Source organism: Homo sapiens, chromosome 9 (genome assembly GCF_000001405.40).
Source record: "Homo sapiens chromosome 9, GRCh38.p14 Primary Assembly".
In the NCBI taxonomy this organism is placed as follows: Eukaryota; Metazoa; Chordata; class Mammalia; order Primates; family Hominidae; genus Homo; species Homo sapiens.
The window spans coordinates 95022871-95047368 of NC_000009.12; the positions used below are offsets into that span (position 1 = coordinate 95022871).

The 24498-nt window shown below is 42.5% G+C and overlaps 1 protein-coding gene across 35 annotated transcripts in view, besides 4 other annotated features; it reads left to right on the plus strand.

The window, feature by feature from the left end:
• The window catches only part of AOPEP (aminopeptidase O (putative)), a 423526-nt gene that overhangs the window by 296172 nt on the left and 102856 nt on the right, over positions 1 to 24498 (plus strand). The window lies entirely within an intron of this gene.
• Positions 409 to 1608: an enhancer, noted in NCBI's record as "CDK7 strongly-dependent group 2 enhancer chr9:97785561-97786760 (GRCh37/hg19 assembly coordinates)". NCBI's record gives its function as "activates an origin of replication core promoter dependent on BRD2, BRD4, P300/CBP, MED14 and CDK7 cofactors, with strong dependence on CDK7, by STARR-seq in HCT116 cells {active_cell/tissue: HCT116}" and the evidence as "EXISTENCE:reporter gene assay evidence [ECO:0000049][PMID:35650434]".
• Positions 6017 to 6167: a silencer, noted in NCBI's record as "fragment chr9:97791169-97791319 (GRCh37/hg19 assembly coordinates)". NCBI's record gives its function as "represses an EF-1alpha promoter that drives an FKBP-Casp9 reporter gene in an ReSE screen in HepG2 liver carcinoma cells {active_cell/tissue: HepG2}" and the evidence as "EXISTENCE:reporter gene assay evidence [ECO:0000049][PMID:32094911]".
• Positions 9385 to 9884: an enhancer, noted in NCBI's record as "H3K4me1 hESC enhancer chr9:97794537-97795036 (GRCh37/hg19 assembly coordinates)". NCBI's record gives its function as "activates a minimal SCP1, AML or CMV promoter by ChIP-STARR-seq in naive H9 embryonic stem cells {active_cell/tissue: H9 hESC(naive)}" and the evidence as "EXISTENCE:reporter gene assay evidence [ECO:0000049][PMID:30033119]".
• Positions 22020 to 22785: an enhancer, noted in NCBI's record as "H3K4me1 hESC enhancer chr9:97807172-97807937 (GRCh37/hg19 assembly coordinates)". NCBI's record gives its function as "activates a minimal SCP1, AML or CMV promoter by ChIP-STARR-seq in naive and primed H9 embryonic stem cells {active_cell/tissue: H9 hESC(naive and primed)}" and the evidence as "EXISTENCE:reporter gene assay evidence [ECO:0000049][PMID:30033119]".

The following is a 24498-nucleotide window of genomic DNA, read 5'->3' on the forward strand; positions in this document are numbered from 1 at the left end:
TTTCCATAGAACTTTGGCCATGGCTGTAGCTGATGCTGTGGGTCACCTGTGCTATTAGGGTTAAATTGAGATCTTAAGGTACCTTTCTCCCCGCTGTAGTCCGGAATGACATGGGTTTGTGATCAGACAAACTGATTGAAATCCCACCTTTTTGCCCCTCACCGGCTTTTTCACGCTGGACCGACTCGCTTCTCTAAGTCTCAGTTTCCTCATCTGCAAAACAGACTTCACGGGAAAACATTTTGCACAGAGCTGCCCCTGCATCATGGGTCACAGACAGTAGTAATTAATGTTACTGGGGAATGGGCTTTTCCAGTACTGTTTTCAGACTTAAAGTCATTTGTTATCTGTGGTGTGTTATGGGAACAGAAGATGTTCCTGAGAGCTGATAGGAGAGACCAGGAAGTGTAGCTGCAGGAAGAATGACGATGAGGGCACGTTTGGAACATCAGCGTGGCGGATGTGGGCCAGCTGAAGTGTCCCCAGCATTAAGACTGGGAAAGCAGCCCAGTCACTTCTCTAGTGGGTCCCAGCCACAGGTGCAGAGGACGCCTGCCTCCCAGGCAGACCCAGGAAGCTGCCCCATGGGGCCACTCTGCCCTAGTCAAATACTGCCTCAGGTTCAGTTGGAAGTTTCCAGTCGGCTCCTCCAAAGGGAGTTTTAGTTGAAGTCACTAGAGCTGTTTTATTGATTTTGGTTGAGGTCTTTGTGAGCTCAATTTACAAAAAGTCTGGTTATCCACAAAAAAATGCTTGCTGGTGTCCTGAGCAACTGAAGAATTCCAGAAACCTTTCAACAACAAGTGTTGAGATCTCCCCTGACCCCCGCCTCCCAGCAACTACAGAGGTCTGAGTTTGCAGTAACTATTATTCTTGTGTGGAATTGGCTCTGGATCGTTAATAAGTTTCCCTGAGCGCTGACTAACAGAAACCCACTTAGTCACAGAAGAAATGGGTCCAGTGTTTGTCCCAGCTATGAGTAATGGGTTATGCATGATTTAAAAAGGCTTCTCAGAAAGGCCTTGCTTATGTAGTCAAGGATCAATATTTTTGAAAAGAAGTTTTTATAGGTAAGCCATAACATTACTTGATAATCAGACATCATTTTCAAGTAGTTAAAAGGGTCATTGGATAAAGCTCAGTGGACCGACACTGGCTTCCTAATTGCTAAGGGCTGAAACTCCACATGCCCTGTAAATTATGAGCATGCTTGAATTTTTTATGGGAAAAGAAATTATGGTTTTATGTCGGATAATTTTCATGTCAAATGTTAGATCAGCCAGCCGGCTCTATCATCCAGGCAGGTTGTTGTTTTTCCCCACCTGATCCCTGCTTTTCCTTGAGAAGTTTATTTTAAATGGAGAGTCAGGAATGAGAGAGAACGTAGGATAGGAATGAATCATGAGAAAAATGCCACCAGTTGTTTTCCATAGTCCGTGTCCTTGTTGGAATATCCTTACCTTTGTCAACAGAGAGTAGCAGTTCATCCACAAGCTCGTGAGCAGCCACTGGCAGCACTGCCTCCATGAGGCCTCGGGAGCATTCTCATTGTTTTCTCCAGGCTGTGCTGTTCTTCCCCTCAGCCTTGAGAGTGACCAGGGATCTCCTAGGCCTAGGGAAACGCCACCTGGTCATTGGCCAGAGCCGTTTCTAGATATGGTATCTGACCCCTGTGTGAGTACCGACTGCCCAAGAGCTGGCAGTAGTTTTGTACTCTGAGCCTGAGCGTGTGGCCCCACGTTCCATGAGGCCTTTGGCCGGTTTGTTTGCCAGAGTGTCTCTGAGAGGAGGGAGAATGTTGGTATGGAGAATAATTTTATTGCTTTCTTCTCAAAATAAAGGAAATACTCAAGGGAATGGTGGGAGGGGAGGGGATAAATATAGCGTTTCCGATTTCCTGCTTCCTCTACTCTTCCACAGCATTTCACTTTTCATACGGTTAGATTTTCATCCTATCGACTTCAGCTAAAAATAATTCCAACCATTTCTATCAGATTGGCCCTCTTATCATACTTGTTATTATTTTGCTTTCCTATTCAAAACCTTTTTTTCCCCTTAGGCCAATGAACTGTTTTACTTTATTAGCTTCATATTTATTTATTTGTTATTGATGGATAATAGGTATACATAGTTTTAGGGTACATGTGATTTAGTACCATCATATAATTTATAAAAATCAAATCATTATATTTGGGATCTCAATCAACTTAAATATTTGTCTTTTCTTTATGCTAGAACCATTCTCAATAGCTTTTCTACAGGGAATAAAAGATGGTCTACAGTGCTCACCTGCTGCACCTGGTGCATGTGTCATGGTCTTATGGCTGGGGCAGTCTTGGTGTCCTGGCTTTTGGATGGTCAGAAATTCTGGCTTGTCCTTGTTCTTCCTTCTCCCGTGATCCATTTTCCCAGCAGAGGCCATTACATATGCTGGTGTCCCCCTACTCCTTCCAGCCTTCTGTTAACAGATACTGTCAGCCCACAGCCACTGCAGACGTGGCCCATTGCTACTTCCTTGTCCACAGCAACAGTGCTGGATACGGCTCAGTGCCTTGTCAGACAGACAAGAGTTGTTGATGAGTCTGCAAAGCAGAGCTGGTAGGTTAGCTGCCAGAGCTGACCCCACTGAGCAAAGCAGTGAGTTTAGTAGGTACTTGGCAAAAGTTAATTCATCAGGAGTTGGGAGAAAAGGTGCAAGAAAGGTCGTCTTAGATTATTGGGCATGGGCTGCCTGCTTACCACATTGGTATTTTCGTTTTGTATAATTATTAAGTTGATAGTGATTTTAACAAATAAAACATAACTTTGAAGTTTGGGAGGTAAGTGACTTGTGTAAGGTTTTAGGTTACATGAGCTAAAGATAAGAATTTCTGTAGTGTCATTTCCTAATTGTTCAGAGTGCCCATTATGCTTAGCCTAGGTGTCTTGCTTGGGTTAGCCCATTCTAAAAGTCGTGTGTTCCTAGGGCAGTGGTCATGATCATCACTGGACTCTGCCAGTTCCCAGGCCCCAGCACTGCCTCCGCCGGCAGCAAGCAGTAATAAGTAAGCTCCGAGTGGTTAAGCCTAATAGGGCTGTGACCCAGTTTGAACTCCGTAATGAGGAAAGAGCAGATTTATTTGCTCCCCTGCATGCGTCCCTCCCCCGTGTTCCTTTATTATCTTTAGAGGAAATTGAATAGCAAAATTCTGCATTCTCATAATGCTAATGGACTGATGTCATCTTTTCCACTCTGAAGTCAAGAAAGTAAGAGAAAACCGGAATATAGATTTAACACTTCATAGCTACCCAGGGCTTCAGCACAGGTTCTTTCTGTGTATATATATGTTTTTAACAACTTTAAGGCGTAATTTACGTGCCATAAACAATTCACTGATTTTAAGTAAGTTAGCTAAGTTGTGCAACCATCACCACAATCTAGTTTTAAAACATTTCCATCATCCCAGAGAAACCCCTGGCATCCATCACTAATCACTGCCTATTTCCCCCTCTCCTCATCCCTAGGCAACCTGTAAATCTACTTCTTGTTTCTGTAGATTTGCAGTTTCTGGACATTTCATATCAGTGGAATCATATAATACATGGTCTTACGTGTTTGTTTTCTTTCACTTAGCATAACGTATTGAGGTGCATGCATGTCGCAGTGTGTATCGCTGTGTTCCCTTTATTCCTGGACAGTATTCCATTTTATGGTTACACCACATTTTATCTGTCTGTTCACCAGTTGATGCACATTTGGGTTATTTCCAGTTTAGGGCTGTAGTAATGCTGCAGTAAGTACAGATGAGTTGTTAAATGAACATATGCTTTTACCTCTCTCCGATAGATGACCTAGGAGTCACGTAAGTTGAGTAAATTTATATGAGCAGTTGAGTAAATGGAGTGATTTAAGAAGCCTAGATTGTTTTCCAAAGTGGCTATACCACATTACCTTCCCACCAGTGATGAACAAGGGTCCCAGTTTCTCCACATCTTTGCCATGAGCTATAAGGAATATAACCTTAACTGTTGACTTGTTTTATATTCTTAGGTACAGAAGAAAGCTAGGAACTATTTTAAGGTATTTACAGTTTTTCAAGCATTGTTAACACATGTTAATTAAAACTGTAGGGTGGGAGTGGTGGCTCACGCTTGTAATCCCAGTACTTTGGGAGCTGAGGCGGGTGGATCGCTTGAACCTAGGAGTTCGAGACCAGCCTGGGCAACATGGCGAAACCCCATCTCTATAAAAAAATACAAAAGTTAGCTGGATACGGTGGCATGCACCTGTGGTTCCAGCTACTTGGGAGGCTGAGGTGGGAGGATCGCTTGAGCCCAGGAGTTCAAGGCTGCAGTGAGCTGTGACCACACCACTATACCCCAGTGTGGGTGACAGAGCCAGAGTGAGACCCTGTCTCAAAAAATAATAAAATAAAATAGAATAATAAAATAAATAAACTTGTAGTCTTTGATGCCTATCCTCCCTACTCTCTAGGTTCTACCACCAGTCATGCATGCAACAGTTAAACACATTCCATTTAATTATGTTTTTTTCTTGTGGACTTGATATAAAGTATTGAGTTGATGTGTGTATGTGATATTGTCTAAATTAAATTTACTTTGAGGAGTGATGTTTTTGGTATTTTGAATTCTTTTTTTTAGTTCTGTTACTCAAACCAATGTTTGTCAGTTTGTATTTCTGATTATACACATTGTTTTAATATAGAAAAGACACACATGTGTCTGTAGAGCCATGTTTTGGGGTGCTTTAAATAATTAAATAGTGAAGTTCTAGGTGTTAGAATTTGGTAGCTTTTAAGGATTCTTTATTAAAAATGCAACTAGCAGTATCTGTATGAATCTAGGCTATCTCCAAAAGCCTTGCAAAAGTTGTGCAGGAAACTTTATCACATCATTAGAACATGGCAGGGGTTACTACGTTTTCAAGTCCAAATGACCAGAGTTTCTCATTATTTTTGCTTATTCTAGAATTTGCAGGTATTTTTAATTTTGGCAGTGAGCAAATCAAGTGAACCTATTTTTCTAAATAAGTCGTATCATCAGTCATGACAGAGCATTCCGGTGAAATAACCCTCTCGTCGTGGGTGAAGTTCAGGACCACCCTTTGGGTCTCAGCAGAATCATGAGCCTCAGAACACTCATTGCAGGCCTGTTTATCTTTCAAATTTGTGCTTGTCCAAATATTCTGAAGCGGGGCATGCAGTCTGTCAAGAGGAAAAGATGAGAGGCATTCCAGTTCACACCTAGCACCCAGGTGCCCAGTGCCAGAAGTTCATGGGAGGAAAATAGTGACAGAGATGATTTTCTTAGGGTCTGATATCTGAATAAACAACCTCAACTGAACACAATTTACATCAATTATTTTGGCCTCCAGAGGCACTTTTGTCATGTGGTGGCAGTTTGTTATAAAGGAACGGTTCTCATAGGGCAGAATCACCCTCGTGGGAGTGATGTGGGTGCTTTGTGATCGGGGTGCTTTGGCCGTGGGTGTATGGAGTCCAGGCGCACTATGCCTGTGGTGCACAGTGCATTCCAGCAGACTGGAGAATTACGTCACTACCCACACAGCCTTCAGGTGCCAGCTGGAGAGCTGTACAGGTGAAAAACTGGTGTCTAATATTTGGGCTTAGAAATTCTTTTATGTACACAGTTTTAATATTGACTCAGGTTTCTGGGAATGAGTCTGAAGGGTAAATCTGGGAAGATTGTATTTTGTTGAATTTTTCCAAGAGTTACTTGCCATTTCAGAAAATCTCTTTTGCAGTGAGAATGCATTTGTGATGTTTGAGTGACCACCTGCCACAGCTGCTTCAGTTTGCATTAACAGCTGTGTGTTAGTGGGGATTCTCCAGGCAGCCCATTGCTTCACTGTTGTATTTAATTGGGTACTCAGGCATCAGCTTGTAAATATTGACGTCCATATTAATGCTTTATAACTCACTTTTCCTTTAATTCTGCTTTCTATTATAGATAGAGCATTGTATTAGAATTTCCCTGCCCAATTGTGTATATTATTTGTGTTAGGTTATCCAAGAATTCCGCGAGAGCCATTGGCCCCAGATGTCCGCAGTGTTTTGGTCCATATTACTGAGATACTAGCCTAGTGTGTCTGGAAGGCAGCGCCAGCTGGTGAGGAACGCACATGGGGCAGAGTTTCCAGGTAGCTGTGTGGGCAGGTGCTGTGTGGCATTGAGCTGTCCTCGTTTGCTGAAAACTGATTCTCTCAGGGGCTTGCCTGGGACTCCCTAGGATGTGGTCCTCTATACTTGCTGCCGTGACCAACATGAAATCTCCTGTCACCGTGCACTCTCTTGGGGAAACTGGGGGTGCCAGAAGACCAGCCACACATTTCTGAGAAGAGGTGAGGGTGAGAGGCAATCAGGCTGGCAGGCCTCAGGTGGACATTACTGAATTCCTTATGGGCATTGTGTAGATGCATACATTAAATCATTCTACCAGTCTGAATTTTCCTGGCCTTTGTCCTTTTGTCTGCGTGTGTTACTGATGAGCCATGCCCTGTAAACCGGTGTGGCCCCTTCCAAAGCCTGTGTTTTCTCAGTAGGGTAAAGTTACTCGAGATCCTCAAGTGTAAGTGCTGTTTCTTTTTTGTGTGCTGCGTGTCACCCTCCTGGGCCCTCACACCTGCCATCCATTCAGTGCCATGCCAGTCACTCCTTCACCCCCAGAATTTGAGAGACGCCATGTGTTAGCAGCTCCTGTTTCAGCACTGATTGGAGTTTCTAAGTTTTCCAGTATTTGTTGTCCTTCTTTCATTTGTTATTTATATTTTGGGCATTTCAGTGTTTTGTAAGCATCTTCTCCAGCAGCTTATCAGGGGCATGGTGAGAATTTAAAAAGGAAAGTTACTCAAGGGAAGGAGGTTGAAATTCATTTCAATTTAATTTATAATAACCAAATCTGTTAATATGAAATCCAGGTGATAGTCTGGCCTCTCTTTCGTAGTGCTTGTCCTGGGAGATGGGTGGCATTACTGATGGTGTGCCCAGCACTCCTAAGTAGGGAGGCCCCCTGGGAGTCCAGTTCATGTTGCTCAAGTTGTTGAAATCTGGATTTGAGTGCTGAGTTGACCATTGCAGCCGTGGTATGATTCTGGTCTCTGCATAAAGTAACCAAGCTTTGTTTTCTGGTGTGATACCTTTCCTGTATTTTTATTACAGTTCAGCATATTTAGTTTCTTGTTTTAAACCAACTCAAGATAAGAAATTTAACTTTTTTTCCCCCTGAATATCAAAGTGATACTGTCTGTTACAGAAAATTCTGAAAATATGGGAAGGTATAAAGAAGAAATTTCAAAATTACCAGTAATCCAGTCACTCAACCAGCACTTTTAGTATTTTGATTGTCTTTTAAGAAGAATAATTATTGAAGAAGAATGGGAGCGTGTTATATATTTGTGACTTTGACTTTGTGACTTCAAAGGTGGTTTCATGCAGGCTACTTTTTAAAAAAATAATTGAATTCAGTTGTTTTGAAATTCTGCTTTTTTGGAAAGATCTGTTATGTACATTTCATAAAAAGCAACTTCATTGACCATGAGTACTGGAATTCAGCATTTAACTGCAGCTGTAGTCCTGGGGATATGTATACCTTAACTGATTCCATTTGATAACCATCTCCTGTGTCCTGGAGTAAATGGCTGTAAGTGCAGAGCAGCGTCTGAGCCTCATGAAGGGATCGTGTCGGACTGTGAGAGGAAGGTTTGTGCATTCGTCCTTTACCTTTGCCTTTCTGCATGTGGCCAGTGATGTAAAAACTGGCAGCAGCCATCCTTCTTCCTCTCTGTGTCTCTTCTTCCTCTCTGAACATGAATCAAACAGGCATCCATTTCAGAATCTCAGGGGACACTGCCAGCTCCCCATCATGACTTGTGTGTTTAGTTTGTAGGCGCAATATGGAAATTATGGAAGATGAGCTTCAAGGTTCAGCAGTTAACCGTGGGTCTATTTCTGCTCTACTTTATGGGTTACACTGAAATGGATACTCAACTTATTTCTAAGAAACATGCAGTTACACAGCTGTCTCCTGCTTTCTGGCTTTTATTAAAATGCAAATAGTCCTCACTTCAAAGTAGCATAATCAAATCCTGAAAGAAGTATAACTGATACTTTGCCTCCTCTCTAGTATTTCCACTATGTTGTCTGGCCTGGCTGGCTTTTCCGACCCTTCTCTGCTAGGCTTGATCCCAGGCTAGTGGAAAGTGTGGTGTTCACAGTGTGCAGTTTTACCCTGGGTGTGCAGTCACATGCACCCCCACATGACATGAGCTCTGGTGGTGTTAACAGCACAAAGTGTTAAATATAAATATGCGTGGCCAAAGAATGTCAATTATTTTGGCAGTTAATAGATTTCTCTGCATTTACCAGTATGTATTTAATGAAGTGAAGTCAGTGCGTCGGTCTGTCTTTGTTCTTCACATGTCTACTCTTTTAGTTTAAAAAGAATGTCATGAAAGTGAAGTAGTTTCTCTTCTCTCCTAAACATCCAATCACGGAGCGTGTTCTTGGTGGGCATTCTTCACGTGTACCCAGAATGCCAGAACACGACGTCATCTAGGTCTTCATTTTAGTGTGATTAGAAGCTAAGTCCCTCAGCATTTTTTAATAGAAACTGATACCCGATTTAAACATCACCATCTATCAAAGCACAAGAGCCCAGCTCTGCCAATGCCCCAGCAGTGGCCAACTGGTGGGGAGTGAGGACAGAACTGCACACTTTTGCAGATCAAAGGGGGCTGTTGGATTTTACTACTCTACACGTAACTGATGAATTGCTAAAGCTCACCTGTGCACCTTAAATCCTGTTCAAGCCCGATTCTCCGGGTAGGGGGGAATTAAAACATAAGCTCCCTAAGCTGCTGCTGGATCATGTCATTTCATGCTCCCTTTTGGAAATGTGTCCCAGTTCAAACAAGCGAACACTGTTTGCTCCTCTTGTCTTGTGACTTGTCCCAGATAACTGGAGGATTATCCTGTTTGTGGACCATGTGCCACAACTGAGGGGCTTTGATGTTGCAGAGCCCCCGCCTCTTCTTTTGATTACATGTGTTTCTGCTAAAGACAGCTTTTTTCAGTGCTTACAGGGGCATGAATAAGTGGCTCAGTGTCCTGTAGCTTTTTGTACTTTGTGGTTTCTCTCATCCTGTTACATTAACCATAACATGGAAAGGGGCATGATCAGAAGGTACATGTCCCAGGAAAGCAAACTAACTGGGGGGCCCTGAAACCCTCCAGCAGGACTCACAGTGAGCCTGCAAACACACTTTATCGTGTGTGTCTGAGAAAAACCCCACTGCACCTGGCCAGCGGAGGCCACCTGCTTCTGGCCCTTCCTTTTCAGGCCACCCCCACCTGGAGTGGTAGATAGGCCTCTTGGCTTGAGTGCTGTGGCCAGCCAGGTGTTCACAGGTGCAGGGGAGCTGTTCTGGGCCAGAAAGACTGGCAGACCTCGCATGGCCCATCAGGAAGCCTGTCCACCTCCCAGGGAAATGAAGCAGATACTGCAGCATTGGTTTTCAAGTGAGGCTTTCAGATATGTTATCTGTTAAGTAAACTCTGCCATTCAAAGGTATTACTGAAACAAAAGCCAGAGAGTGAAATGTGAAAACGTTCTCCTCTGTCCTATGGTGAGCCAGCGAAAGGTGGCGATGTGCACTACCAGAGGGTCCTTCACCTTGGGTGTACAGTGGGCTAGTTGGAGAATGTTTTCTTGAGGAGCTGATGTTCTCCCAGGCTACTCTGCTCTAGGCACAAAACCTCACTTTGGAATACTTCACCTGCAACAGAGCCTGTTTTGTAGCTAGTAAATACTAGGTGTTACTTAGGAATAAATAATTGGCACCCAAATCAGTAGGTAAATACATGACTAAGTGAGGGGAGGGTGGTTTGGAGTTGTTCCCACCTCTGTGCTTTTATTTTATGACAAAACAGCCTCATCAGTGATGTTACAGGACGTGCAGCCCTGAGAGCCCCAGAGCTCTTTTCTGACCAGGCTATGTGATGGGCATGTGCATGTATAGGTGTGTATAATGGGGATAAGGATTCTTCTGATACTGTGCCAAGTGCTAGAACACTAGAGTTCATTTTAGAATGGCTGTTTTTGGGATGGCCACGTATTGTTCAGGGAGATTGCAGTTGGAAAAAGTGCAGTTGGAAGCACACCTGACATGGTTGGGGGAAGGTGCCTACAGCTTCAGCCAGCGCAGCCAGCTAAGAATAGCTCCTGTGCTATGTGCTGTTAATCTCGGAGACGGTTCCTTACCACTAGTCCATGGAGTCTAGAGTTGGCCAAACAGATATAAGTCCGCTGTGTCCTCATTTCACCTCTTCTTTTGTTCTACGCCTTTTTCTCTTGTACTTTTGTTCCTCTTTCTAGTACTAACGTCTCCTCCACCTGTTTGTTCTGGTGCCGTGTGCTCAGCATGTCTCTCCATGCTCCTCTCTTACCCCCTAAAACCCCAAGTGGTGATTCCTTCCTTCCAGCAAAATGTACTCATTCAGTTTCCCTCTCCTCCCTCCCTGTTGTGTTTCTCTACCATTCTTTGATAGGTGATATGATGAGCCAGAATTGATAGGCTCATGTGTATGTGGTTCTGTCTCCATCAGTCGGTGTGATTCTTCATGTTTAGAAAGGTTCCATTTAGAACCTTCTTTAGAAAAGGTTCCATTTCTAAAGAAGCTACAGTTCCCTAACTGAAGTTTCCTCCTTCGTAAAAATGAAGTAGTAGGTTAATTATATGACGCTATAATTAATAATAAAGCCTGTATTCTACTTAATATGTCTTTCATCAAAAAGGCCACATGGGAAATTTTTGACATTTAAAAATTATCTCTGAATTCAGTCTTTGTCAGGGTTCAGCAAATCACAATACAGTGTTTCGTATTTACTTTCTTTTGTAACATTATAGAAATAAGAGTATGAAATACATAAGGATTCTACATATAGAAGTCACAGAAATCATTCTGTATATTCAGAAGTTAAACATCCCCAATTTCATTTGTGAGCAGTTAAATTTGGGGATACTGTGAAAATAAATTTATATCAAATTATATTATTTGATTAACCCAGTGGAGATTTAAAAATCTTATATATTGTTTTCTCCCCTTGCTTTGCTGTCAGCTGTTAGTTCTGTGAGGTCATTGATGATGACAGAATTGCTGTCTAAATGACGTACTGAAGACACATCCCTGCCTTGTCTTCCATTAGAGGTTTGGTTCTGAGTCCTGACGTTGATACTGCTTTATTCCAGGGTACCTATTTGAAAACAAGGGAGTTTTCAGTTATATTTGAGACATAGTGATATTATTGTTTTTTGCTTGAAGCCAAGATGTAGGTAGCGATTGCTTCCACTTTATTTTTACTGTACTTTTATATAGTAATTTGGACAGGTGTCTTCATAAAGGAGATCTTTGACAAGGGAAAATAGACCCAGACACCCATTAAGACGTGTTTTCTCCCATTTTCTCCTTCCTTGCAATATAGGTGGGTTTGATAGAATAGTATTAGGAAATACCAAAGAATCTACCAAATGGGTAAATGCTACTTAAGTGTCTGTACAGGTCATTTAGATGAGAGGATTTGAGACTATGCTTGTTATAATTTGAGAATTATACATGGGTCAGGAATGACATGAGGGCTGAGGTTGAAGCAATTTGAAAAGGAGAGATAATCATGAAACTCTACTTGGATATTAATAATTTTTCCCTTGAATCACACACAGTGGCCTGCGAGGCCTCATTTTGGCTCATCAGTTTTTATATGGGCTGAAGGCATTTGTTTGGAAGATGTAAATACCCTTGTGTTTTTAATAGGGAAAGGTTGGATCAAGTTTGCTCTTAATTCTGATCAACTGACAGTCTTTGACTCAACATGAAGCACACTGAGATAAAGCGGATCCTGGTTTGCTGATACAGATCTCTCAGAAGAGGAGCTTGAGAAGCGGGCCTTGCTGGGATTTCCTCTAATCGCTGCATTGGATTGATTGATAGGATTCAGGTTTTGTTATGAACTTGGGAGAGAAGTGGGAAGACATCCAATAACACCCAACATTTCATTTAATATTTGAAAGAAAACCATTTCTTTTTCTTTTTTCTTTTTTTTTTTTTTATACTTTTAAGTTCTAGGATACATGTGCAGCCTTGTTACATAGGTATACATGTGCCATGTTGGTTTGCTGCACCCATCAACCCATCATTTACGTTAGGTATTTCTCCTAATGCTATCCCTCCCCCTGTCCCCCACCCCATGACAGGCCCCCGTGTGTGATGTTCCCCACCCTGTTTCCGTGTGTTCTCATTGTTCAATTCCCACCTGTGAGTGAGAACATGCGGTGTTTGGTTGAAAGAAAACCATCCCTACATTGATGACATACCAGTTTTCTCCTGAACCTGGACATTAATTGTTGGCATGTTGGGGAAGTCTGCTCCTGTGATGTATCTCGTAGGAGCAGTCAGCAGCCAGACCTAACAGTTTGATGCAATCAAGTTCAGGGCCAGTTGGAACATCTTGAAAAATCTAAGTAAAGGTATCTAAGGTGGGTAGTAAATCTCTAAGGAATTTCCTTTGTATTAGTGATTTGCTGTTTTTTAAAATAAATCTCTTTGACACCAGCTTCAGATAATTTTTTTTTTTTTTTTTTTTTTTTTTTTGAGACGGAGTTTCGCTCTTGTTGCCCAGGCTGGAGTGCAGTGGCGCGATCTCGACTCACCGCAACCTCCGGCTCCTGGGTTCAAGTGATTCTCCTGCCTCAGCCTCCTGAGTAGCTGGGATTACAGGCATGCACCACCATGCCCGGCTAATTTTGTATTTTTTTTAGTAGAGACGAGGTTTCTCCATGTTGGTCAGGCTGGTCTTGAACTCCCAACCTCGGGTGATCTGCCCGCCTCAGCCTCCCAAAGTGCTGGGATTACAGGCATGAGCCACTGCGCCCAGCCCAGATAATTTTTTTTTTTTAAAGAAATTGCTGTGTGGCCTTACTTGCTTGTCAGTAAAAGCAGGCACCGGCCCCCAATCATTCACTCAGTTATGACAGACTTCCCTCCTACCACATGCTTTCAGATGCTTTACCCAGAAAATAGGTCTGAGGGTGGTGACTGTAGACCCCCGGGAGAGGTTTCCGTGATGGTGGTCACACTGAGTTTTCTTGAATAGAAGGGATTATGCAAATATTTGTGTTTTAAATCTCCCTAGATTTTTGCTGTCTAGTGATTTACATGGCTTTAAGAATTTTTGTCCTGTTTAAAGGTTCCTTTGTGAGGATGTGCATATGATCTTGTGTGATCTCATTTTCCCTAAGCCTAGGCTTGAGGACAGGTGGAATCTTCCACTGATCTTGCCTGCTTTCTTAAGATTTTACCACTGATTTCTCAGGATATTTTAAAACATTTCATATTTGAAAGCATGAAAATAAAATGTTTTATTTCTTTAAGTTATAATTCATGAAGATGGAATTTATCTGATAGGTCTTACTTGCTTTAAATCTTTGCCTTTGGAAAAAAAATTCCAACTTTTAAACAAATTCCTAATAGTAGTTGCCCTTTAAATGACAAGAATCATAGTTGGGGGTTGGGGTGAGAGAAAATCTTTCATCTCTTTTAAAGGTATTTAATCTTTTTTAAAAGTTTCCTTACTTTTTAATTATCTTCAAATATCTGCCATAAAGTATGTGTTTACTTGCTCTTTATAAACAAGAGCAGCACTTCATTCCTTTCGGTAAATGTCAGAATGTTGGGTTTTGTTTTATTTCTCCTCCTCCTCCCCGCCCTCCTCTTCTTCCTCCTCCTCTTCTCCTTTCTTGTTCTTCTTTCTTCTTCTTCTTTTTTTTTTGTGGGGAATAAAACTATAGTTTGTTTCAGAGGTGGCCAAGCATAGCTCAGCTGAGAGATGGAGGGACAGCTGCTGCCTGGGCACCTTGGCTTAAAGTCACCCTGAAGGGACTGTGGGTTTTTAGAGATCTTTTCATCTTGTCAGTCTTCCAGCCTGGCCACAAGCTTGCCTTAGCAGTCTGCAGCCCGTGTGCCATCTTTTGACAATGTCATTGTCATGGGATGGATGCTCCCTGTGATGTGGCAGATAATGCATTCCAGTGTGCTACTTGCAGAAAGTGGTAACATCTCTGTGTACTTTTTATTCAGAACCTAAGTTGCTAGTTAGTTGAACACCACAGATGTATGAGCTGTCTTCGGCCTAAGAGTGGGCATGAAAATTGTAGCAAACCCATAGAGGCTTTTAATTTTTTTCTAAAAAGACCTCACAGCAGTATTATTGATTTGGTTTTAAATAGCTATTTTATGAAGTTTCAGGATAATTTTTTTTTTACCTCACCTTTTAGCCTTTATTTTGATTTTTTAAAGGGGGGTGGTTTTCCTTTATCAATCCCTAACCATTTTATCTTAAGAACTCTTTCTGAAGTCATTCTTTATTTCAGCCAGAAAACTGATTAGTGTTCATTGATAGAAGATGATAGGCTGTACAGTTAACCATGAAAAATATTTTTCTCCTTGACACCTTAAAGTTGTTGTCAAAAGTATTACCGCATTCAGTTAAAGAGAGTGGGTAGAATTTTATTGTCTGAGCTTATAGTATACAAGCACCAAAGCTCGATGAATTCAGGTCTTTTCCAGGAAGTTTAACTTGCATTTTTTTCTCATAAGATATTCACATTTCTTTTCCACTCCTAATTTTGTGGCATAAAATAAAACATAACTTTTGTTCTGGGCACAGTTTCTTATTGCTGAAGGACTTAGGAAAGAGCATGTCAGGAGTAGGAATGGTCCAGCTAGTGAAACTGAAAAGAAAAACCCTGGAGCACTATTTGTTCCTCTTCAGCGTCTGTCTGTGGGCCTTCAGCTGCTCTTGGGGAAGGGCCATGCTTACTCCTGAAGAATTGCGGCAACAGTAGAAGGGGCTTCTGTAAGTAATGTACCTCTCAGTGCAAGCTAATACATTCCTAAGGGCTTATTTGGCTTCACTTCCTAATTTACAGTGATCTTGACCGGCTTTCTGCCTTGAGACCCTGAGTGTCATGCCGTGGTGGGGAAGGTTGGCACCTCAGGCACGTATGAGATGGTGTGGAGCTCCTTAGATGAAAGGTGCTCGGTGTGGGAAATACAGTAATGTGAGAAACCTTCCATCCAGCTGTCTGTCCGTCCATGCTCCATGCAAGCAAGTTCTCGGCCTCTTGAGCCTGTGTCTCCCACACCGAAAGTTATATGTACTGTCCTGATGCAGGAGAAGAACCTAAGTTTTCTGGGGAGAAAAAATGGGCTTTTAAGCAAGGTGAAAAACAAAAAACACTTTCTTTCCAGTTATACCAAAAGTGATGATATAACTAAACCAAACTCCCTGGAAAACTAGATACCATCAAACTTGAATGACAGGGTAGATAGGAATGAGCCCAGCCCAGACTGTAGGTGAAGGAACATGTTTTCCAGCAGCTGCAATTTAGCATGCATTAGGTTGTGAATTCTGCACTTTGGTTTCTAGGCAACTTGCACACATTTTAAATCTGAATATAAACACATACACACCCCCAAAACAGAATGAAACAATAAAAAGCCTAATGATATAAACCATGTTTGCCACAAGTCTCAGTAACTATAGCAAACAAATCCAGGCCACTACCTGGCTAAGTAGAGATGTTGGTGGTTAGACCTAGGAAATAAAGACAAAGCAGCTATAAATAACTTCTTTTGTTGCACAGTGATAATGTCTCTACAACGCAAGCACATCAGGTGTGCTCTGCCTCCAAGGTGCCCTGCAAGAGAAGGCATCTCCTCAAGGGAACGAGTCTTGTTAAGGGAGATTTCATTTCTTTTCCTGTTCTTTTAATTAGTCTTACATTAAGATTCTTAGAAGTTGTACATCTTCTTATTGCTAGCAGCAAGCTCGGTAAGTCCAGGTTACTTCTAGGCGGACAGGTCTGACCCAAAGGGTGCTCATCAGTGCCTCCGTTGCCGCCAGTAGGGAGGTGATAGGAGCAGTTCTGGGGTGTGGCTTAATATCTGTACTAGAAATTGGGACTTACGGATAACCTCGATGAGTTCACAGATGAGGCGGGCTTAACATAGGATTGCCAGTAAATTTGGCAATCGAAATGATCCTGTTATACCAAGCACTGTTTAGATTCATGTGCCAAAGTGACCAGCTCTGGGTTTGAAAGAGGGTTATTGTGGGCCTTCTGGATGGACAGAAGTCAAATGGAACACATGTGAGCATGTGTTCAATGTCTTTAAATATTGAATAGCATAATGGTGGAGTTAACATGGGATCGGCCCATGCTGTTGGAGTCTGCATCTTGAGCAAGATGGAGCAATTGAGAATGGTCCAAAGAAAAGTAGTATTGTGGGCATGAGAAAAATAAGACCTATGGGAAAATTTTTTAAAAACTGAAATTGTTGGCCAGGTGCGGTGGCTCATGCCTGTATTCCCAGCACTTTGGGAGGCTGAGGCGGGCAGATCACTTGAGCCCAGCAATTTGAGACAAGCCTGGGCAACATGGTGAAATCCCATCTCTACAAAAAAAAATACTAAAAAATGATGCAAGTGTGATGGTGCACACCTGTAGTTCCAGCAACTTGGAAGGCTGAGGTGAGAGGATCACCGGAGCCCCAAGAGGTCCAGGCTATAGTAAGCTGTGTTCACACCACTGCACTCCAACCTGGGTGACAGAGTGAGACCCTGTCTCAAAAACAAAAAATAAAACTGGACCATAGTTTTAAGGAATTCCTATCCTATAATTAAATACATTTAACATAAGTAATATTTCTCTCAAAAGCTTTAAGCAGGCTGTATAAACAGAAACAACTTAGGAGCTTGCTAATTTGTTTATCCCTGCTATAGACATGTTTCTTCATTCATTCATTCATTCATTCATTCATTCACCTTTCATGTTAATTTTAAGAAATCTTTAAAATAGCCACTATCATTATTTATTGTCAAGAACAATGATTTGTGATGGCAGACTAAGATTGCTGACTTTTTATTTAGAGTTTGTAAAAACAGGTTTCAGGATGTTAAATTTTTATAGTTATTGCATGATTGATGTGTTTCCTTTTCCCACAGAACTAAAGCATGTTAAAGATGCTATTTGAATTTAATTCTGGGAACATAATAAAAATAGCATTGGGGCATTGAGGAGCTCAGAGGCACAGGCCTCATCAGCCCTGCTTTAATACCTGAGCAGCAAGAGGTTACAGGTGGCTTCTCCTCCCTCCCAGGGGACCTCAGTAGGTAGAGGAGAGAGGAGGCACACAGTCAGGGGACCCTGAGGCCAGAGCCACACCAGGGGATTCTGCTGCCCCAGTCCCTTCCCACAGGCTTGTTTGTCCATTGACAGGAACAGTTGCACGTACAAAATCAACTTTGCTTTCCCATCCTCTGTAAAATGTAGTGCCCAGCCTCTTTATTATGCATTTTATTACTCACATTTAGAATTATATTGCTATCAGGAATGGTTTCTTGAGAACTGGAGCGGAAGAAAGGCTGTGTCCCACGATATGTGATCCTGCTAATAAAGTGGATGATCAGACACAAAGCCAAGTTCATCTTCCCACCTTGGGGCCACCACAGAGCCACGTGGTAACCCCCTTTTTCTGAAGGAACGGCATTGAGGCCCAGGCCATGTGCATTTCCCCCTGGGCTGCCTCCTCTGACCCCAGGATTCCAGCTCTTCCTCAGAAGTTGTCTCCATCTCTGCGATGAAAGAGGAGAGCAGGGACCTTTCTCCCTCCCCTCCTCTATGTCTTTCTGACCAGGTGCCCCCAGGACGCCTATTGCTGATGGGCATAGGCATTCCCAGTTCCCTCCTGGCCCAAGCTCCTGGAGGTGGGACCACACATGACAGAGCGACACCCAGCTTGTCCTCTCTTTTGCAAAGTGCAGGATGAGAATTTTGGGTTATCCTGGCTCCTCCCATGTTTTTTGCAGCTCCAGTGACAGCAATGCCAAATGATACCCAAAGATAAAAATATTGATCCAAGTGCAGATGAGCTGAAAACATTCCTTTTCTGATAGAAAACACGGTAAACAGTCTCCCTTCCTCAAAGATTGTACCTGGAAAGCCATGGCTGGTTAATTTTTTCCCTTTAGAATACATAACATTGTGAACTTCAGAAAATACCATAATCAGGGAGTTCCATGACAGAGTTAAGTCTCCACACTCCAAAAAAAAAAAAAGCAAGTAATGGCTGTTGATCGTGTGGATATGTGAATTGCAATAAATAACAGGCTCTCACGTTTTACCAGTTCTTTTTACTACTTAGACATTTTGTCAGGCTTCTCAAACCAAAAGGCTCTGTGCCATTCAGGAACTTAGCCAGTTTTCATGTATGTGAGTGAAACATTTGGGGCCAAAGAAAGACTCCTTTGTAGCAAGAGTGACTTGCGCTTTAATCAGTGTAGGAAATGGCCTTATGAGAAGATGGATTTGTGCTAGAAAAATTGAGAATAAGGAAACTATTCAGAAATAAGATTTAAAAAAAAAAAATCATCCTTGTGGTAATTTGAAATTGTGATATTGCCAGATTGAGATTGTATACTGTGTACTCAGAGTCCTTGGGGGTGTGTGTGTGTGTGTGTGTGTGTGTGTGTGTGTGGAGAGGGAGAGACACTAAAAAAGTACAATAAGCCAGTTTGTGATCTCACCATATGTGTTGAATTGAACACAACTCTTCTGCACTTAATGAAGACTTCAGCCTTTAGGGGTAAATAAAACATCACTAAACAGGGATGGCTTGAATATTTCTTACCGGCTGTAATAATTAAAGCCATGAAAAAGGTGGTGGGGTTATGTTACTCATTAACTGGAATCGCTCTTAGATTTGATCAAGACGCGGTGGCCCCTGGCGCTTTGTTTCATGTTTGTCCTTTGTTTCATTGACACGCTTTGCCTCGGCCTCCGTGGCGCTATAAAAGCAGCAGAGCAGTTAAAGAACCGGACCCAGAAGGCCCGTAGACCTCCTATCTAGCCGCCTTTTCTCCCCTCCCCCCAAACCCAACAAACTCTTCAACCTTCAGAACTGAGCCTGAAATCATCTATAAAGCAGCACACTTAGGGATCTGGGAGGGAACGGGAAGAAACCTTCCTCTTTTAAAAGGAAACTGATGAATTCAAGTGTAGCCAAGAGCTTTTAAAGGATGTCATTGGCCAGGCGCGGTGGCTCATGCCTGTAATCCCAGCACTTTGGGAGGCCGAGGCGGGCGGATCACGAGGTCAGGAGATCAAGACCATCCTGGCTAACAGGGTGAAACCCCATCTCCACTAAAAATGCAAAAAATTAGCTGGGCGTGGTGGCAGACACCTGTAGTCCCAGCTACTCGGGAGGCTGAGGCAGGAGAGTGGCATGAACCCAGGAGGCAGAGCTTGCAGTGAGCCGAGATTGCGCCACTGCACTCCAGCCTGGGCAACGGAGCGAGACTCTGTCTCAAAAATAAATAAATAAATAAATAAATAAATACATAAATACATAAATAAATAAATAAAAATAAAGGATGTCATTGTCCTTAGGTGTTGCACCAAACAGGCTAAGAAGCAATGACATTGATTATGAGGAACTTGGAACTCAGATGTATTAATTTCCTATTGTGTCTTAACAAATTACTACAAATATTGTGGCTTAAAACAAATTTATTATAGTATCTGGAGGTCAGAAGTCCAACATCAGCCTTCATTAGCTAATGTCAGGGTGTCCGCAGCACTTTCTTTCTGTAGGCTCTAGGAGAGAATCTAGTTCCTGGCCTTGTCTAGCTTTTAGGATTGCCTGTATTCCTTGGTTCATGGCCCCTTCCTCCATCTTTAAAGCTAGCATGGTTTGGCCAAGTCCTTCTCACACTGCTGTCTTTTTGGTTCTCTCTCTTGCCTGCCTTTTCTACTTATATGGACACTTATGCTTACGTTGAGCCCACCTGTATAATCCAGGGTAATCTAATAGTTGATTAGCAGCCTTAATCCATCTGTAATTTTAATTCCCTTTTGCCAGGTAATGTGGCCATTATCCTGCCTACAACCTCAGAGGATGTTGATAATGTAAAGGGTAGTGAATTGGGGAGTTCATAGGGTTTGATAGTTGACAAATACAGAGTGTAGTATTAGGTAGGGGTTTTTTGGCAGGGTGCAGTGGCCCATACCTGTAATGTCAGCACTTTGGGAGATCAAGGCAAGAGGATCTCTTTAGCCCAGGAGTTCGAGATCGGCCTGGGCAACAAACTGAGACCCCCCAGCCACCTCATCTACACAAAAATAAGAAAAGGTGGGAGGTAGTTAGTAGTTTTGTAGTTTTCTTACAGCTTCTCATAACTACCATCAGGAAAATGTATATGTGCATATGTATCTGTATATGTGCATATATATACAGATATATACAGATATATATATACATATATATCTGTATATATGTACAGATACATCTGTATATGCACATATACAGATATATGCTATTATAGTAGAAAAAGTCATTTGCATTTCGCTTAAATGAAGTTTCTGTTACACTGTAATAGCTAACATGCCAACTGCTGACATAAAGAGAAATTTTCAGTGTGACATAAAACTAATTTATGGTTTTAGTTTGAAGGAAATTGGCATTTCTATTTAAAAGAATGATTCAGTTATAGTTTTATTGACTTGTGAATAATTGAGTTAATCGTTTGCTTTGTCTTGTGAAATTTTTTATTTTATAATTTGTACTAACATAGGAAAACTTCCAGTTAAAATGATACTCCAGTTTTAACATTGTAAACATCCTTTTTTGTGCACACATCTGTATAATTTTTAGGTTTGTTTTGTTTTGTTTTGTTTTTGAGACAGGATCTCAGTTTGTCACCCAGGCTGGAATACAAGTGGCAAGATGAGGGCACAGTGCAGCCTTAACCTTCCGGACTCAAGCAATCCTCCCACCTCAGCCTCCCAAGTAGCTGGGACTACAGGCGCATGCCACCATGCCTGGCTAATTTTTGTATGTTTTGTAGAGACAGAGTTTTGGCCCAGTCTGATCTCAAACTCGTGGGCCCACATGATCCACCAGCCTCAGCAAAATTTTTACATAGTTGTAACCGCTGTGTACATATGGTGTATTAAGTGGCTTGACCTTCCTGTGTTCTCTTTCCCCAGTCATCTAAGACTGTGGGTAACATGTGTTCCTGTCTACAAGGCCATTGCAAAGTCAACTGAGATAACACGTGCGAAGTTCTCTGGGAGAAAAGCACCATCTGCATTTGCATAAAGCAGAGCTGCCGAGGTTAAGCTGTCAACAGCTTCCTAGGGAAAATGTCCCTGAAACAGATAAGACATTTACCTGTAATGGTTTTCTTTGCCTGTGAAATTAATGGTACAAGGCTTAAAAAAAGTATTATCTTTTAATTTGTCTTTTAAAGTTGATTCTATTTTAACATATTTTCATCATTTAGTTGCTAAGAATCACTGCTAATGGGCACAAATGGAAACTTAGATCCTGCTACAAGAAGGTTACATTAATTCAAAACTGGCTCCGCTGGATGCAGGTGGGGGTGGGAGTGAGGGGGGATTAAAAGTAAAGACATCCCAGACCTGCAAGGAGCTCAGAAATGGGAGCATCATGCGCAGCAGCACTCCGATAATTCTGTTGTATGGCAGAATAGCGTAACAGCCCACGTGAAAATGAATGAGAGTAAAACCCATGAAGCAAATTCTGCATCTGGAAGGGTAAGATTGGTGAAGGGTTCTTGAAAAACGTGACCCCTTGAATAGTGATTTGAGTAGAGGGCATTCCAGGCAGAGGGCTGAGAAGGCTGCAGAAAGGTTTGTTGAAGGGCTGAGGAGTGGACTGGGACTGGAAATGAGCATAGTGACCTGCACACATAGGGCATACATGTCACTGTTTCAGTCCCCAGCCAGAGAGAAGTGCAGGGTGGGAGTCAGGGAACCCACCTGGTGGTAAGGCAGGGCTGGTGTGCCCCTAGGGCCTGCACTAGAGAGGCGCTGGCAGTGGGGGAAGGGGGAGAGTGGAGAGCTTACTTGGCACCTGTAGTTTACATTTGAGGGTTACATTTGGTAGGATCATGGGTTGCGTCAGTCCCTCTCGGCACACATCTCAGGCTGTGCAGAGTTGGTGTTGAAGGAACGTGGGGAAGAGGGTGGCCCATTTTATATTCATGCTCAGAAACAGGGGTCTTTAGCCAGAAAGGGCGCGCCAAGGACGGTGCTGTTTCCTGACACCCTGGAGAGTTGGGCGTCACAGCGCTTGTGCCCAAGGTCACAAGGTGAGTAGCCAGGCAGGATTAGACCCTGGTCCGGGTTACTCTCCAGCCAACGGCGCCCCTAGCGTCTGCGAAATCACTGTGCTTGGAGGAAAGGACGACAGGTTTTAAAGAGGGAGTGTCATCGCCTGCAGCGGGCGGACCCGTGTCCCGGCAGTGCAGCTCCGCAGGCGCAGGAGGGATGCGGGCTGGGGACGCCTTGGGGCGGCTGCAGGCTGGGGCGCGCCCCTGCACCCGGCGGGCCTCCGCTGCGTCCACTGCGGACAGGGGTCGGTGAGAGGCCCCAGGTCCAGCGCGACTTGCTTTTGTTAAAACCTCCTTGTGTTAGGTGTGCTCCCAGCTTTGGAGCCAGGCTTTTGGACACGCCTGAGTTTTTCTAAAGCCTTCTTGTTCCGGTCTTCCCGCACCTTCCAGTGCGGTCAAGGATGCTGGTGGCTGGGTCCTCTCCGCGGAGGGCTCTGGGTCGGGACCCTTGCACCCACCCTGGGGCCTTGGCTTCAGAACCAGTTACTCGTGTCAAGGATTGCTGTACAGCAGCTGCCCTCTCCTAAGGGCCAGGTGTTTTCTTTTTTTTCTATGGATGATTGTGGTCCTCGTGCTTCTAATTTAAATAGGTCATGCTTTAAGCCTTCACAGAGGTGCTCCAGGGACAGATAGATGTCCATGTAACGTAGCTCCCCTAACCCTCATTAAACGAACTTGAGGCCAGTTGAGAGGGGAGCAGTACCAGTAGATTTCAGGCAGCATCACGCTGCCGGCCCCTGCGGAATGGAGAGTGGTGTTCGGGGATTTGCTTTGGAAATGCCTTGGGAAGGCGCCGCCACCTCCACTTTGAACAACGGTAGGAACGCAGGGTAGGTGCTCAGGTGGCACGAGCACTGCTGGCCAGCAGAGGACTGCGCTGGGCCTAGAAAGGAAGCTATGGGTTCCCAGATACGGGTTCTTTAAAAAAATGTCAGTGGACTAGGGCCACTGATTCAACTTCCGAAAAGCAAAATGGAGATTATAAAAATGGCGTGAACAAATAGTGTCGGAATCATTTGATAAGTTAAATCTGTGATGTTAGTGAGAACTGCTTATCTGAAATGGAAATACTCTCAAGACCTTTTGTGGCTTATCCCAAAGGCTTACTCTCTACCTTTTAGTTGAAAGCAGAATTGCAAATTTGACCAACTTAATCGGCAGTGGCTTTTTGCTTTTAAAAGTACATGCTAAAATGTTTGTGTGAGCGATGAGGCTGATAGCGTAGGTACCTGAAGTGGAGATTTACTTTTGCCAAGAATGTTTTGGTGTATTTTGTAAAACTTCTTTATTTCTGTCTCTCATTAAAGAATGTTTGTTTTTTAAAGGTAGATAAGAATTTTTCAAACTGACATAATTTTTAAGGGAATTATATTTAATTGTAATGTTCTTATGCATTTGAAAACATGCATAAAGCTTATTAGTGTTCTTAACATTTAAAGGGGAGTGTTGTGTGCTGTACACGAAGAGATCGACCCAGCTAAGAACGACTTCTAGACCTGGGAGTGTGGGGAACATAGGGAAGGATAAGTTTTTTGGGAGTGTTACATTTTCTCTGAAGGAGTTTTCTCCCTAGGTTCTCAGTTGCTCACCGTGTTTATTTCATCTGCAGAACAAGTGTTTGGGAGTCATTTCTATATTTTTACTTCCCAGACACCTGATTTTCTTAGTTTTAAGTATGTAAGAATGTCATCTTACTTCAGGAAACTAAAGTTGTAAGTTAAGGTAGACATATTAGCATTTGAAAGTACTCACTTTAATTGTTTCTTATTCTGCTTGTTTTAACTTAAAATCTGTTAATTTTCTTGTTTAAAAAAGGATTAACTTTTAAAGTGGTTATTACAATTTAAATTGTATTCAGCTATTTGTCATATTAATATTTAGAGAGGCAAATTTAGTTGCCAAACATGGCATTTTGTAAGAAAATAAGGTACTAAGTTTTCTATCACATGAACAGTTTAGGATTTTCTTGACTTTTAGATGGAGATATTTTAGCTCACATTTTATAAATGCATGGAATGGGACTGAAAGCCATACTTACCTGAAGTGTTTTAAAAATTTAAATCTGTTTTTGAAAAATATACAGTTTGAAAGTGGAAGACTCTCAGCCTATTTAATGCGAAGTTTTTATAGTGGTGGGGTTTTAATATTCCTCCATTCAGTAGTTCATTGCCTGATTTTTTTTAACCTTTCACGTAAACTTTGTTCAGTAATTCTTTTAAATGGATGCAG